Here is a 16,475-nt window from a genome sequence, read left to right as displayed (position 1 = left end):
AACATTAGTTCTATTTCCGTGAAATACTTCTATACATTTTAAAGATGACTTTATAAGTCTTCCTTTTAACTTATAGTTTATGAACTCTTACAAGGTTTATAATCCTTGGCTTGATTGATTTATCTGTATGACTGATTCCTTAGCAGTCTGTAAGACAATTTGGCCTTGCCATTTCTGTCTAACATAGGAAAAGAGCAATGAGGCAATTTCCCTTGGGGCGGAGATTAAGAGCCAGTGACCCCATGTATCTTGGCTGTCTGAGAAGTTGCTGAACTGTGCCATCTCCTTTTTCCACATTTATCCTTACCTTAAAAATAGTCATGAATCTGAATTTTGTATATAGTGTTGAAGGTGAATCTGACATTATAGTTTTTAGAGTTCTCATTCATTATGCTCGTTATTTTTTCTCTTGACACCCCAGCAAGAATTTAGGAAACCTTTGCTGGAGTGCCCTTGTGAAGAAAGGCCTTAGTTTGTTACATGCCAAAGTACCATGTCCTGCTGACAAGAAGCGTTCTCCTCCTATACAAAGAGTGATACAGTATTCACTCAGAGCTCACAGCCCTGCCTGTTCCGCATGCTGGGATCCTCGGGGACTGGTGCAAGTGGGTGGAGGAGGTTATATAAGCTCACATCTCCTTCCAAGTGGGAAGAGGCGAGGGACAACAGCTGTCAGCTCCACAGCTGGTCTTGCCAGCCCAAGTGATTCCAACTTTATTTGATCAGAGAAGAAGGCTTCTCAGTACACAGAGGGGAGATTTGCTGATCCAGAGCCAATGTTTTAAAACTTTGGCAATTTGTGCTAACTTCCTCTGGCTAGGACAGATGCTTATTGGCTCTGGCTGCCTGGACATGGTGTTCTCGAGGCATTTTGTGTCATCCTGAATTGGGCCCAGCCAGCTGCTCATCTATAGGAGATTCTCAAGGAATGGTGCAAAGCTCATTACCCTTAGACTTTTGGTTGGGCAGTTGCTCTTGCATCAGTATCCATTTCATTACATTAAACTAAAAGAATAAAATAAGTTCTCAAAAGGCAGATATAAAACACAGCAATCTCCATAGGCCATTTTTTTATTTTTAATTTTTTGGGGTACATAGTAGGTATATACATTTATGGAGTACATGAGATGTTTTGATACAGGCATGCAATGCATAATAATCACATCAGGGTAAATGGGGTATTCATCACCTCAAGCATTTATCCTTTGTGTTACAAACAGTCCAATTATACTCTTTATTTTAAAATGTATAATTAAGTTATTATTGACTATATTCACTCTGTATTGCTATCCGATAGTAGGTCTTATTCATTCGTTCTAATTTTTTATACTCATTTACCATCCCCACCTCCCCATCATCCCTCCACTACCTTTCCCAGCCTCTGGTAAGCATCTTTCTATACCCTATGTCCATGAGTTCAATTGTTTTGATTTTTAGATCCCACAAATAAGTGAGAACATGTGATGTTTGTCTTTCTGTGCCTAGCTTATTTCACTTAATATAATGATCTCCAGTTCTATCCATGTTGTTGCAAGTGACTAGATCTCATTCTTTTTTATGGCTGAATAATTACTCCACTGTGTACACATACTACATTTTCTTTATCCATTCATCTGTTGATGGACATTTAGGTTGCTTCCAAATCTTAGCTATTGTAAACAGTGCTGCAACAAACATTGGAGTACAGATATCTCTTTGATACACTGATTTCCTTTCTTTGGGGTATGTACCCAGCAGTGGGATTGCTGGATCTTATAGTAGTTCAATTTTTAGTTTTGTAAGGAACCTCCAAACTGTTCTCCATAGTGGTTGTACTAATTTACATGCCCACCAACAGTGTACCTCAGTTCCCTTTTCTCCACATCCTCCCTAGCATTTGTTATTGCCTGTCTTTTGGATATAAGCCATTTTAACTGGGTGAGATGATATCTCATTATAGTTTTGATTTGCATTGCTTTGATCAATGATGTTGAGCATCTTTTCATATGCCCGTTTGCCATTTGTATGTCTTTTTTTTTTTGAGAAATGTCTATTCAAATCTTTTGCCCATTTTTGGTCCAGTTTTCTTTTCTGCTTCAATAGGAAAGCACTGAGTTCAATGCATCACAATTGCTGTGTTCTCCCTCCTCCAGCAGCCAGAGATGTTCTCTGAAACATGCTGCTGCTGCCAGGAGTTGGCAGGGTGGTGGTGTCTGCAATTCTGGACTGTTTTATCTATCTCCTCAGTGTCCTTTCGGCGATATGAAGTTACAACCAGGTACTTTGTACTATGAGTGCTTACATGATTTTTGGTTCTGATGAAGGTATTTTTTTCTGTGTAGATAGTTGTTAACTTGGTGTCACTGCAGTGGAGGGGGACAATCGGTGGAGCCTTCTATTTCGACATCTTGCTCTGCATCTTTCCACAATAATTGGCAATTTATTCTTTTAAAATTTTGAGATGAGTGGAGTGCAGTAGCGTGATCTCAGCTCATTGCAACCTCCCACCTCAGCCTTCAGAGTAGCTGGAAATACAGGCACACCCCACCATGCCCAGCTAATTTTTGTGTGTTTTTTTTTTTTTTTGTAGAGACTGGGTTTTGCCATGTTACCCAGGCTGGTCTCAAACTCCTGGGCTCAAGCAATCCTCCCGCCTTGGCCTCCCAAAGTGCTGATATTACAGGCATGAGCCACTGCGCTCCACCTGGCAATTTATTCTTGATTTACTGTAACTCTGGGAAGGACATGGCTAGCACATAACTTAATGTCAACATTTCTTTTTACAACTGAAAGGAATATTGGGCTTTTGGGATGCATCTCTTGTCCTTGGTGGACTATAAGGGTGTTGAAAGCCAGTTGTAATGGCCTGTCCTCTGTAGATTCCCCTCAGAACTAAGTCTATGCCTGTTACAAGCTTAGTTACTATATTTATAGCTAGCACAGATAAGAAATCTATGTGATGGAATATTAAATTTATGCCTGACAAGCAAAACTATAGTAAAGAGAAAATTTGCCTACGGCCTTAAATACTTTGGAGACAGACAAATTTACAAGGACAGTATGTGAGGTCGGGGTTATAATATGATCGTGTACACAGAGAGAGTACAGGAAGGACTGCAAACAAAGATAGGATATGGGGATATTGAGGAAGACTTAGAGAAGACACCACTGAGAAGATGATACATCTTCTTGTATGGAATCTTGAAGGACGATTTGAAATTAGCCAGTGAAGTGGAGTGTGAGGTACAAGGATGCTAAGTGGAGGGCTCAGCTTGTACAAAGAAAGTTTTCAAAGTACGCGTTGCCATCTCATGAGGGATCATGTATATCCTCTCAAGGTGAGTATACTTAGTCCTGTAGTTGATATGGAACGCTTTGCAGCAGGGGAATGTAGTAAATTTTAGATAGTTTAACCCACCTCTTACTGGTTTTTTGCATTGGGTAAGATATTTAATCTTCCTGAGGTTTAGTTTCTTCATTTGTAAAACAGTACTACTAAAGTTTATTATACAGCAACTTTGATCATTAAATGGGGGTCAAATATCTAGACTATGCATAGTATATTAGAGCTACTCAGAAAATAACAGATTCTCTTCTCTTTATACTCATGTTTGATTTCCTGTATTACATTATATTTTAATTTAGCAAGTGTATCTTGAGCACCCATTTTCGCCTATTTCAATGCTAGGCCCTAGGGATGGAGTTGAATAAGATACCGTCCTTGACTTTATGGAGCTACAAGTTATGTAAACTAACTATTCTAACCACAAGACCATGGTTTCTTGTCTCCTCTGTGCCACTGGGCAACCATCGACCCACTCATTTTCTAGCCTTCTGCAAAACTCCTCTTTATCCTCACCTATCTTTGCCTTTTTATCTCTCATCCCAGAAAACATCCTGGCCCTTCTCCTGCCCATAGATGATCTCTTCATTTGGGTTTTTTATCCCACTCCTTGTATTTTCTTATTTTTTCTCCCTCCATATAGCAACACACTTAAATCCCTCTTGCATTAAAAACAGAGCCCCATTCTTACTGTCAAGGCCTGGAAGGACTACAGCATAACAGTTTTGGCTAAATGATGATAGTCAACACATTGTAGCAATAGGAACTCAAGAGTTGACATTATTTTAAAACGGAGGTATGGTACCTCAGGATGGTTTTTTAGCAGGGAGCAAGGTGCTTAGTTCAGTGGTGGTAGGAAGGGGATAATGGCAAGTGTCAAAGTTGTCCATAACCGGCCAGGCACAGTGGCTCACGCCTGTAATTCCCGTACTTTGAGAGGCCGAGGTGGGTGGATCACCTGAGGGCAGGAGTTTGAGACCAGCCTGGCCAACATGGTGAAACCCCGTCTCTACTAAAAAGACAAAAATTAGCCAGGCCTGGTGGCATTGCACCTGTAATTCCAGCTACTCGGGAGGCTGAGGCAGGAGAATAACTTGAACCTGGGAGGCAGAGGTTGTGGTGAGCGGAGATTGCACCATTGCACTCCAGCCTGGGTGACAAGAGTGAAACTCCAACTCAAAAATTCATAAATAAATAAATAATAAATAAAGATTTTCCATAACCAAATATGATCCAGTTATAGAGGGCATGACTATCAATGGAGGGTGTGATTCACACAAAATTCATCTGGCACTCAAGTGGTATGCAAGGTAGAGACTGGGAATTCTGAACCAGATAGAAGTCCTGATGTTTCAAATGGGACACAAAGTCAGAGTCAGGCTGGTAGCCACATTGACATGACAGTAAATCTAGTGTATGGGGCTGGAGTTCTTAATCTACCCTGTCTCATTGTAGACTTGGTCTCAGCAACTAGAGCCAAGGTAGACCTATATGAGCAAATTAAGTAGACTCCACTCTTGAAAGAAGAAACGAGTCTGCTAAATGCCTTACTATTTAAATAAGGAAATCTTTGAGAAAGTATGTTTTATATAGAGGAAATCATATGAACAAAAAGCACAGTATGAAAAAGTGTGGCATATTTGGGGAACATATAGTAATCTGGTGTGATTAGAATATACATGTTTCATACAAGGAGTGCAAGAGGTGAAACTGGAGAGTAGATTGGCGTGAGACTGCAGGGCCTTGAATACGAGGCTAAAGAGTTTATACTTGGTACTGAGTTAAGTCTACTAGTACTGTCTTATACCTGGTGTCTGTGGGATCTCATTTAGGGGTGTGCTGTGTCCTTAAAGCATTTCCTTAGTGCCTTTCCTTATAAAATATATGGTGGTTTCTTCACAAGGTTATCTACTTCTACATTGGGAATATTGAGAGTCAGAAGGTTAAGATTTTTGTTTAAGGTAATGTAAGTAGTAAATGGAAAATGCAGAATTTGAACGTGGTTTAGTGCCCTTTCCTAGTATATAACCTAGTATATTGTCGAGGTTAGAAGTAAGGGCTTTAGAGTCAATTATGGGTTTGAATCTCCATTTCTTTTACTTCTATTAGCTTGTGCAACTTTGGAACAGTTCGTTTTCTGAGGCTCAGGCTCATTCCTCTTCTGTAAAATTGGGATAAGAATAGTAACATTCACAGGCTTGTATGAGGATTCAAAGAGGTAATGCATATCAAGTGCTTAACATAACAACTTACAAATAATACTCAATAAGTGGTAACTATTTCTAGTATTACATTAAAGTTATATTGGAAAAATGTGTTTTTACTTGAAAAAGTTAACTCAGAATATGTAGAATAAAAGGAGTTGATCCAGTATTCTGATGTTATAGTCATATTTGGATAGGAATTCATGCTTGTTCTGCACTGAGGTTGCAAATTTGCTTCATGTGTTCATTCACTGATTCACTAAACAGATGTTAATTTGGCCACACTCTGTACCTGACACCATTCCTTGTACAATGAACAGGACAGATGAAGTCTCTGCTTATGTAGACCTTACATTTTAGTGGTGTGCCAGAGGGTGGGAGGCAGATGTTAAACAAATAATTAGATAAATAATTTCAGATTGCAACAAATGCAATAAATGCTTTGAAGACAATAAAATCGGTGATTCGATGTTACTTGTGGGGGTGGAGTTGGTCTAGGGCAACTTTAGAAGGAGTCATAATGGACAGCCTCTGAAAATGTGACACTTCAGGTGTGACCTGAACATTGAAAAGAAGCCAGTCATGAGAAAAATTGGAGAAAGAGTGTTCTAGTCATGGCAAGCGCACAAAGGTCCTGAGGTAGGAACAAGCTTAGTGGTTTGTCTAAGGAACTAAAAGAAGGCCATTGTGTCTGAAGTGAACACTGATGAGAGAGTGTTCTGGCCCAGGCCAGATCATAGGGGATTTTGTAGGTCATAGTAACAACTATGGATTTTATCCCAAGCACAGTGTGGAGTCCTGGAAGTTTTTAACTGTGGGGAATGATATGATCAATTTATATGTTTTTGATAATAATAATAGCTTTTGTTTATTGGACAGATACAGTGATAAGCACATTACATGCATATATTTCATCAGTCTTCACATAACCCAGTAAAATATGATGTTATTTTTGTGATTATTTTAGAGATTAAGAAATCTGAAGCTTAGTAAGGTTAATTTTTTAAAGGTCACAAAATTATTGTTATTTATAGAACCAAGATTTGAGTTTGAGTTTATCTGATCCTAAGCCTACATGGCTTTTATTAAGCTAAAATATATATAACAGGCCAGGCATGGTGGCCCACACCTGTAATCCCAGCACTTTGGGAGGCCAAGACGGGCGGATTACTCGAGGTCAGGAGTTTGAGACCTGCCTGGCCAACATGGTGAAACCCTGTCTCTACCAAAAATACAAAAATTAGCTGGGCGTGATGGTGGGTGCCTGTAATCCCAGCTACTCAGGAGGCTGAGGCAAGAGAATTGCTTGAACCTGGGAGGTGGAGGTTGCAGTGAGCTGAGATCGTGCCACTGCACTCCAGCCTGGGTGACAGAACGAGACTCCAGGTCAAAATAAATACATAAATAAAATACATATAACAACATTGGCTATTTTAATCATTTTAAGTGTGTAATTCAGAAATATTGATTGTATTAAAAATGATATGCAACCATCACCATCAAATATTTCCAAAACCCTTTTATCACCCCAAGCAGAAACTCTGTACCCGGTAAGGAATGACTCCCCATTTTCCCCAGCCCTGGTAAAGTCTAATTTACTTTCTGTCTTCTCTATGAATTTTCTTATTCTAGCCAAGCTTGCTGGCTCATGACTGTAATCCTAGCACTTTGGGAGGCCGAGATGGGCAGATCATGTGAGGTCAGGAGTTTGAGACCTCAGCCAACATGGTAAAACCCCGTCTGCACTAAAAATACAAAAATTAGCCAGGTGTGGTGGCACATGCCTGTAGTCCTAGCTACGTGGGAGGCTGAGGCAGGAAAATCACTTGAACCCAGGAGGCAAAGGTTGCAGTGAGCCAAGATCGCACCACTGCACTCCAGGCTGGGCAACACAGTAAGACTCCATCTTAAAAAAAAAAAGAATTTTCTTATTCTAGATATGTCATATAAATGAATTCATACTATATTTCTCTTTTTGTGTCTGACCTATTTGAATTAGCATAATGTTTTCCAGGTTCATTCATGTTGTAGCATGTATCAGAAGTTCCTTCATTTTTATGGGTTAATAATATTCCATCTAGTGTATATACCACATATTTTTTGTCCATTTATCAATTGATAGACATTTGGGTTTTTTCCACCTTTTGGCCATTGTAAATACTACAGGGAACATTGGTCACCAAGTATCTGCTTGAGTCCCTGTTATCTATTATTTTGGGTATATACTTTGGAGGGAAATTGCCTGGTTATATGGTAATTCTGTGTTTAAATTTTTGAGAACATGACAAAATATTTACCTGGGTGCCTGTACCATTTTACTTTCCCATCAGCAGTTCACAAGAGTTCCAATTTCTTCACATCCTCAAGAACACTTATTTTCCACATATATAATTTTCATTTCTAATTTTTTTATAGACAGGATCTCAGCCTGTCACCCAGGCTGGAGTGCAGTGGCATGATAATAGCTCACTGCAGCCTTGCATTCCTGGGCTCAAGAGATCCTCCCGCCTCAGCTTCCTGACTAGCTAGGAATACAGGCATGTGCTACTGCATCCAGCTTTTTTTTTTTTTTTTTTTTTTGTAGAGATGGGGGTCTCACCATGCTGGTCTCAAACTCCTGGCTTCAAGCGATCCTTCTGCTTTAGCCTCCCAAAGCTCTGGGATTACAGGCTATTTTCTGTATTTTTTATTTTAGATATCCTAATAACTGTGAAGTCATATTTCATTGTGATTTTGATTTGCATTTCCAATAACTAATGATGTTGAGTATCTTTTCATGTATTCGTTGGCTATTTCTATATCTTGTGATATGGCCATATGTCTATTCAAGTTTTGCTCATTTATTTTCTTATTGTTGAGTTTTTTCTTTTTTTGAGATGGAGTTTTGCTCTTGTTGCCCAGACTGGAGTGCAATGACGCGATCTCGGCTCACTGCAACCTCCGCCTCCCAAGTTCAGGTGATTCTCCTGCCTCAGCCTCCCAGGTAGCTGGGATTACAGGCATTCACCACCACACCCAGCTAATTTTTTGTATTTTTAATAGAGACAGGGTTTCACCATGTTGGCCGGGCTAGTCTTGGACTCCTGACCTCAGGTGATCTGACTGCCTCAGCCTCCCAAAGTCCTGGGATTACAGGTGTGAGCCACCGTGCCCAGCCTCTTATTGTTGAGTTTTAAGAGTTCATTTTATGTTTTGCATACTAGACCTTTGTCAAATATATATGCATAATTGTGTATAATTTTATATAAATGTGATCATATAGCGTTCTGTTTTGTAACTTTTTTTAATACTCACTAATATCATGGATACCCCTGTAGGTCAATAAATGTTCTCTTACAATTTGTAATGACTCATAATGTTCCATTACATAAATGAATTATAATTTAGTTTGTTTTTATTTCTTTGTTCCACTTTGCTATTATTAATAATGGTATAGCAAACATTTTCGTGAAACATGAACTGAAGCAGATAGAACAGCAATTTCATTGGAACTTTTTAACATTTGCCTTTCTGAAACTGATAATAATTGCCCAGGAAAAATAAGTGACAATATCAAAATCTTAACAATACAATAAGTTTGAGCTATTTTATTTACATAGAATACACAGAACTTTGTATCCAAGAAACAGGGATACATGTTCTTTTGGGTACACAGACAACATTAAGAAATATAAACTATGCATCAGGCTATAAAGGAAGCCTCAAAAATTCAAAAGATTCTATATCACATAGAGTATGTTTTCTAACCATAAGAAAATAAAATTAAAAATTAATGATAAAACATTCCATATTTGGGAACTAACAAAATGGCAAATATTCTTTGGGTTAAAAAAATAAATATATTTTATGATGAAATGACAATGAAGTCAGTATATATCCACATTTGTGGGACACAGTTCATTATGTAGAAAGGAAGTTCATTGCTTTAGATATATTGATCAACAAATAAGAAAGATTAAAAACAAATGTATTGAGCATTTAAATTAAAAAAATTGATAACAACAACAAAACCTACCCGAAGTGACAAAACAGCTGGACATATAAGACTTAAGGGCAGAAGTGAAATAAATTAAAAAACAACTATAACAATAAAAAATGGTAGAGGTAATTAACAAAGCCAAAAATTAGTTATTGAAAGGATTAACAAGGTAGACTGGTAGGAAAATGCAAACAAACACAGTAGAGAATATAGAGTAAAATAAATGAAATATTACAGACACAACAGATTTGTTAAAAAGACGAAAGAATTATAACACATTTGAAAAAAAAGAGATGAGGTTAATTCCTAGAAAAATGTAAATGGCCAAAAGTTGGCAAAAGGAAAGAGGGAGACTGAGTAGACGGATATATATTAAAGATATTGAAATGGAATTCATACTTCCCCTCCCCTTCACTCCCTCAGAAAAAGTGGTCCCCAAAAATTTTAACCTTAGAAATGAGTCGGTTCAAATCCTTTCATTACTAGTGTAAAGGAGAAAAACATGTGCTTATTGTAATCAAATTAGAATTGCAGGAAAATTAAGTAAATAATATTTATATGATAACCTATAGCAAACATTATACTAAATGGAGAAACTTTAAATATGTTCATCTTACGATGGAGAACAAGAGAAAGATACCCATTTGTCTACTATTGTTTAACCCAGTACTGGAGAGCCCCACTAATACTGTTAGAATGAAAATTGGCCGGGCGCAGTGGCTCATGCCGATAATCCCAACACTTTGGGAGGCCGAGGCGAGCAGATCACCTGAGGTCAGGAGTTTGAGATCTGCCTGGCCAACATGGCAAAAACCCATCTCCACTAAAAATACAAAAAATTAGCCAGACATGGTGGCTGGTGCCTGTAGTTCCAGCTACTTGGGAGGCTGAGGCAGGAGAATTGCTTGAACCCGGGAGGCAGAGGTTGCAGTGAGCCGAGATTGCGCCACTGCACTCCAGCCTGGGAGTGAGACTCCTTCTAAAGAAAAAAAAAAAAAATAGAAAAGGAAAGAAAATTAAATAAGTGCACAAAGATGGGAAGGAAAGATTTAAAATTGGTTACTATTTGAAAAACATTACAAAACAGCATGGTGTTATTTGCAGATGATATAATTATATAACTGGGAAAATCAGCAGCATCAGTAAACTTTATAAGGACTAATAAGAAATTCACCAGATTGGCAATGACACGAGTAATTTGCCAAAGTTAATATTATTTTTAATACGTGCAATAAGTAACCAGTAAATGTGATAAGTAATATTGATACGGGAGGGGGGCAGGCAAGTGCTAGGAAGAGAAAGGCCCGGTCCCTGGCTAGGGCTCCACCCCTGGGCCTGTGCCCACGGACCTAGGTGAGGACAGGCATTTCTGTTTTCATGCCAAAATGTTGCATTTTCCAAGACCACCCTGGCCCGCCATGCCCCCATCCTTTGCCTATAAAAACCCCAAGACCCTAGAGGGCAGAGACACAAGTGGTTGGACATCGAGAGGAACACACAGGCGGAAGAACACAGCCGCAGACACCAGCAGATACCAGGAGGACACCGGCAGACACCAGGAGGACACCGGCAGACACCAGGAGGACACCGGCAGACACCAGCAGTTGCCAGCAGGTCATCTATGGCGGGAAGACGCTGAGTTCAGCCGAGGGCGGTCAGAGGAGAGGCAGGAGAGCTCGGCGGCTGAGCGGCCTGACTCCTGGGGAAAACCAACTTCCCACTCCATCCTCCTTCTGGCTCCCCATCCATCTGCTGAGAGCTATTTCCATCATTCAGTAAAACCTTGCACTCATTCTCCAATCCCATGTATGATCTGATTTTTCCGGTACACCACGGCAAGAACCCGGGATACAGAAAGCCCTCTCTCCTTGTGATAAGGCAGAGGGTCTAATTTAGCTGATTAACACGAGCTGCCTATAGACAACAAAACTAAAAGAGCACACTGTAACGCACGCCCACTGGGGCTTAAGGAGCTGTAAGCATTTGCCCCTAGATGCTGCCTTGGGGTTAAAGCCCACATGCCCCACAACCTGCCCATCTGCATGCGCCCCCTAGAGGTTTGAGCAGAGGGGCACCGAAGAAGCGAGCCACAGCCCAGTCTCATGCCCTGTGAAGGGGATAAGGGAACTTTTCCCGTTTCAATATCATTCACATTAGCAATAACAACTAAAATATGCAGAAATTATTTTCAAAAGAAATACACAAGATCTCTATTGGGAAAAACATTAAAATCTAGTAAAGGACATGGAAGAAAATATAAATAAATTCTAGACCTTTCCTCTTTTCAAATGGATTTCGTTAATATTATACAGATGTTAATTCTCCTCTAATTAATCTATAAATTAAAGTTTAGTTGGGTTTTTAGCTTAATATGCACAAATAGCTAAGTTAACCTTAAAAAAAAAAAGACAAAAGAAGGGAGATTTTCTCTACCAGGCAGCACACATATTACAAAGTCAGTGGAGTGAAAACAGTCGGATATTGGTCCTCAAACAGAAGGCTAGTCAAACAGAATAGATAGCTGAAGTTCAAACTCACATATTAATTTAATATAAAATAAAAATCGCACTCCAAATTAATGGGGAGTGGAAAAATTCATAGGTGATTATAGGAATAATGAATCTCTATATAGAGAAATATAAAGCTGGATTCCTACGTAACATCACAAACAATGCTGAATTCCAGGCGGATGAAGGGCCTAGAAGTGAAAGGCAAAACTCAAAGGTTGTTTCTGTCCTGTGTATATACCCTTTTCTGATAAATATATGGAACAAACTAGGAATTCAAGGGAACTTCTTCAACCTGATTGATGGCAGCTGTAACCAAAACTAGAAGTTAACATCACACATAAGGGAAAGACTAAAATCTTTTCCTCTATGGTAAAGAACAAAATAAGGATGTCTACGTTCTTCACTTTGATTCAACATTGCACTGGAGGTTCTAGTTAGCATAATTAGCCAAAATTGGAAAGAAGTAAATCTATCTCTATTTGCAGATGACTTCATGTTGTATATAGAAAATCCTAAGGAACACACACACACAAACACATACACACACACACAGAACTAATGAAGGAGTTCAACAACATTGTGTAGGATACAAGATCAGTATATAAAAATAAATTTTATTTCTATCTACTTTGGAATAAAATTGTATGTCTATTGACATTAATAATGTGAACATTAAGAAAACAATCTGATTTAATCAAAATGATTAAAATACTTAGGTATAAATTTAACAAAAGATGTGCAAGACTTATATGCTGAAAACTACAAAACATCATTGAAAGAAATTAAAGAAGCCCTAAATCAATAGAAAGACAAGCTGTGTTCATGAATTGAAAGCCTTAATATTGTTAAGATGGCATTACTCATCAAGTTGATCTACAGATTCAATGCAAGCCCTATCAGAATTCCAGCTGGCCATTTCACACAAATTGGTAAGATGATCCTAATATCCACATAGAAATGGAAAGGACCAGAATAGAAAAAAATGTCAAAGGCAAATTTTTAAATTTCAAAACTTACTACAGGCCGGGCGTTGTGGCTCACGCCTGTAATTCCAACACTTTGGGAGGCTGAGGTGGGTGGATTACCTGAGGTCAGGAGTTCGAGACCAGCCTGGTCAACATGGTGAAACCCCGTGTCTACTAAAAATACAAAATTAGCTGGGTGTAGTGGCACATGCCTGTAATCTCAGTTACTTGGGAGGGTGAGGCAGGAGAATCTCTTGAACCCAGCAGGTGGAGGTTGCTGTGAGCCGAGATCGCACTGCTGCACTCCAGCCTGGGCAACAAGAGTGAAACTCCATCTCAAAACAAAACAAAAGAAAACTTACTACAAAGCCACAGTAATCAAGATAGTGTGGTGCTGACATAAAGATAGACATATAGATCAATAGAATAAAGAGTCCAGAAACAAACATTTATGGTTCACTAATAATTTACAAGGATATTAAAAGCAATCAGTTGGGAAAGAATACTCTTTTGAATAAATGGTGCTGGGACTACCGGATATTTACTTGCAAAAGAATAAAGGAAACATAGTACATCCATACAGCCAAATAATATTCAGTCATAAAAAGGAGTGGAGTACCGATACATGCTACAATATGGATGACCCTTGGAAACATTATGTAAGTTTAAGAAGCCAGTCACCAAAGGCCATAATGCAGATTCCAGTTAATATGAAAGATGTAGAATAGGAAAATCCATAGAGATGAATGTAGACTGTGGCTTTTTGAAGGTGGGTGGAAGGGGGAATGGAAAATGATTACTAATGTGATTAAGATTTCTTTTTGGGGTGATGAAAATATTTTGGAATTAGATAACAGCAGTGGTTGCACAGCTTTGTGAATATGCTAAAAACCACTGAATTGTACACTTTAAAAGGATGAGTTTTATGATATGAGAATTATATTTCAGTTTTTAATTTAAAAATTGAATTTGAAGGAGAAAGTATTCCACAGAATCTTATCGGTCCTTGGTGAAGGCAGTAAGGTTTTCTGGCCCATGCTTTTCTCAAATAATTGGTACTTTAAATTGATTCAACAGCTGGAGGAACAGTTTGTCCTTCCTATGTTTTGTGTGAAAATGTCTACCTCCTGTGTTTTGGTATCTGAGTTAGGGTTGGGCTATGGAACTTCTCGAGTTGTATTCCTAAGACGTCTTGATTATTTATAAGCCCCATGAATGTTATTCCACCCATGATAATCTGGGCTACATGGACTGTGATCTTGGATGTTAGTTCAGCTTATTTGAACCTTAATTTCCTTTACAATATCTGCTTCTCAGTGTTGTAAAGTCTAAATGAGATAATAGACTTTAAGTGTCTATCATAGTGCCTGGCCTGATGTAGGCCTTGGTTAATGAATGTTAGCTTCCTCCCTACACGTTTCCCTTCATTAAAAAAAAATAGTAAAAAGCACATTTCTTTCTTTCTTCCCTGTCCACCCCGCCTGAAACAGAGTCTTGCTCTCTCACCTAGGCTGGAATGCAGTGGCACAATCTCGGCTCACTGTAACCTCCACCTCCCAGGTTCAAGCAATTCTCCTGCCTCAGCCTCCCAAGTAGCTGGGATTACAGGCGTGCACCACCAAGCCCAGCTAATTTTTTTTCTCTTTTTTTTTTTTTTGTATTTTTAGTAGAGATGGGGTTTCACCATGTTGGCTAGGCTGGTCTCGAACTCCTGACCTCAGGTGATCCGCCCGCCTCGGCCTCCCAAAGTGCTGGCATTACAGGCATGAGCCACTGTGCCCGGCCAAAAGCACATTTCTTATATGTCACAGGTCACTCAGCTCTGCCCTAGCTTCCTGCCCAGCAACAGATTGCTTGTAGCAATAAACCATGGGTGATTTTTTTTTCTTTGATCCGTGTGTCCCCTGCTGTGCCTCTTCTACTACCTGGCACATTGCAGGTGCTCAGTGATTTTGGATTTCGCATGAGACAGCACAAGCCATTTACATTGATTTTCCAGCATGATGCTAAGAGAATAGTAGAGTGTCAGCATTAGTCTGTGACAAAGGAACATTGTTAGTGCTACTTTAGATGCTGTGTTTCTTCCAGTTGTGCTGAGTAGCAGAGAACTTAATTAAATTTCATACTCGAGAAGAGTAAAGGCTGAGTCCTTCATCTGCCACAAATCTTTACAACCCTTGCTTTCTAGTTAAACTTTCCAGGATTTTTTTTCTCTGTTTTTAATATCAGCTTTTTGGAGTGAAGTGCTTAAATAATACCAAGTAATTTATTAAAAAGAGACAATCCCAGGTTCCTATTTCTTTGGAAATGTTTTACTTATTATTAGCTGTCTAAGTGCATTGTAGATTAACCTTTTCATGACAAATATTTACTTCCATTTGTGTTATGTCTTCTTCCTTTGTAAGAAAATTTGAATGAGTGGTTAATCTATGTGAAAAATATTGGAGGGAAGAAAATATATCTACTGCACAGGCCCTTTTAAGGTATCATTCTCTAAGGAGCAGCTTCCATAGCTTTCAGCTGTAAAAATAGGGACTGCCATTTCTGCAGGCAGAATGGTTTGGGGTTATATTTCAGGAAGCTGAAACTGCTGAGACCAATACAAAGTTAATTCTCCGTTGCTTTTTTTTCCTTCCAGGAGCTAGAGGGATTGACCACCTGAAACCTGACACTATCTCCTTCATTCTCCTTTCTAAGCAGACAGAGTTACAACTACAGACATTTAATCTTTGCCCTTCTTTCCCACCTTTAGGAGCGGAAAAAGAAATTTGAAAAGGATGGTGAGAGGTTTTATTCTTTACTGGATCGGCACTTACACCTGTCTTCAAAAAAGAAAGAATCTCAGTTACAAGAGGTATGTTCACAAAGCCTGCCCCTGCCTTCCATTGCTAGCTATGCCTTAGAAACAGTGTGAATTTTGTACTGCAAGGCTTTTCCCATACCCCGTCTCAGCAGGGAACCTCATGTGATAGTAGCACTTGTAGTCAAAACTGTGGCCTGAGACTCAGAAGCCCTGAATACTAAGCCAGCTCTTCCACTAACTCAGGGTGTGACCTTGGATAGGATACTTCTTTCTTTGCCTCATTCCATTATCTGTAAGAAGAGGAGTCGAGAGTCCCTTTCAATTGCAAGTCCAAAATCCATGCGAGGATAAAGTTAAACTAGTGTTGTATTTGGTAGAAATCAGGAACAGATCTTCTACTTTTTTCCCTGAGAGATTCCACAACCTTTTTTTTTTTTTTTTTTTTTGGTGAGGGGTTAGGGGAATGTTCTGTTTTGGGACTACTGCTTACCTGGGACTTGCAGTGCCTTCAGTTCAAATAAGCTACCATTCGGTGAGACCCTACCACATGCCATGAACTGTACTGGATGCAACATGGCTACAGAAACAATGAGACATGATTCCTGCCCTTCTGCAGCTTACTGTTGGGCTACTAAATAAGAAAACACATTACTCTTATACAAATAGATTTTTTTTACATACTTTAATGTGTA

The 16,475-nt window shown here is 39.1% G+C and overlaps 1 protein-coding gene across 7 annotated transcripts in view; it reads left to right on the top strand.

Moving 5' to 3' along the window:
* Positions 1-16,475, top strand: part of OPHN1 (oligophrenin 1) — a 391,498-nt gene that overhangs the window by 183,521 nt on the left and 191,502 nt on the right. For all 7 annotated transcript variants that reach the window (XM_011530961.2, NM_001437258.1, XM_006724653.3 and 4 more), the window contains one exon: positions 15,733-15,834. In XM_011530961.2, coding sequence (XP_011529263.1) covers positions 15,733-15,834 — 102 coding nt within the window. The remainder of the gene's footprint in view (positions 1-15,732; positions 15,835-16,475) is intronic.

This window comes from Homo sapiens, chromosome X, assembly GCF_000001405.40.
Source record: "Homo sapiens chromosome X, GRCh38.p14 Primary Assembly".
Classification (NCBI taxonomy): domain Eukaryota; kingdom Metazoa; phylum Chordata; class Mammalia; order Primates; family Hominidae; genus Homo; species Homo sapiens.
This window is presented reverse-complemented; position numbering and strand designations above follow the sequence as displayed.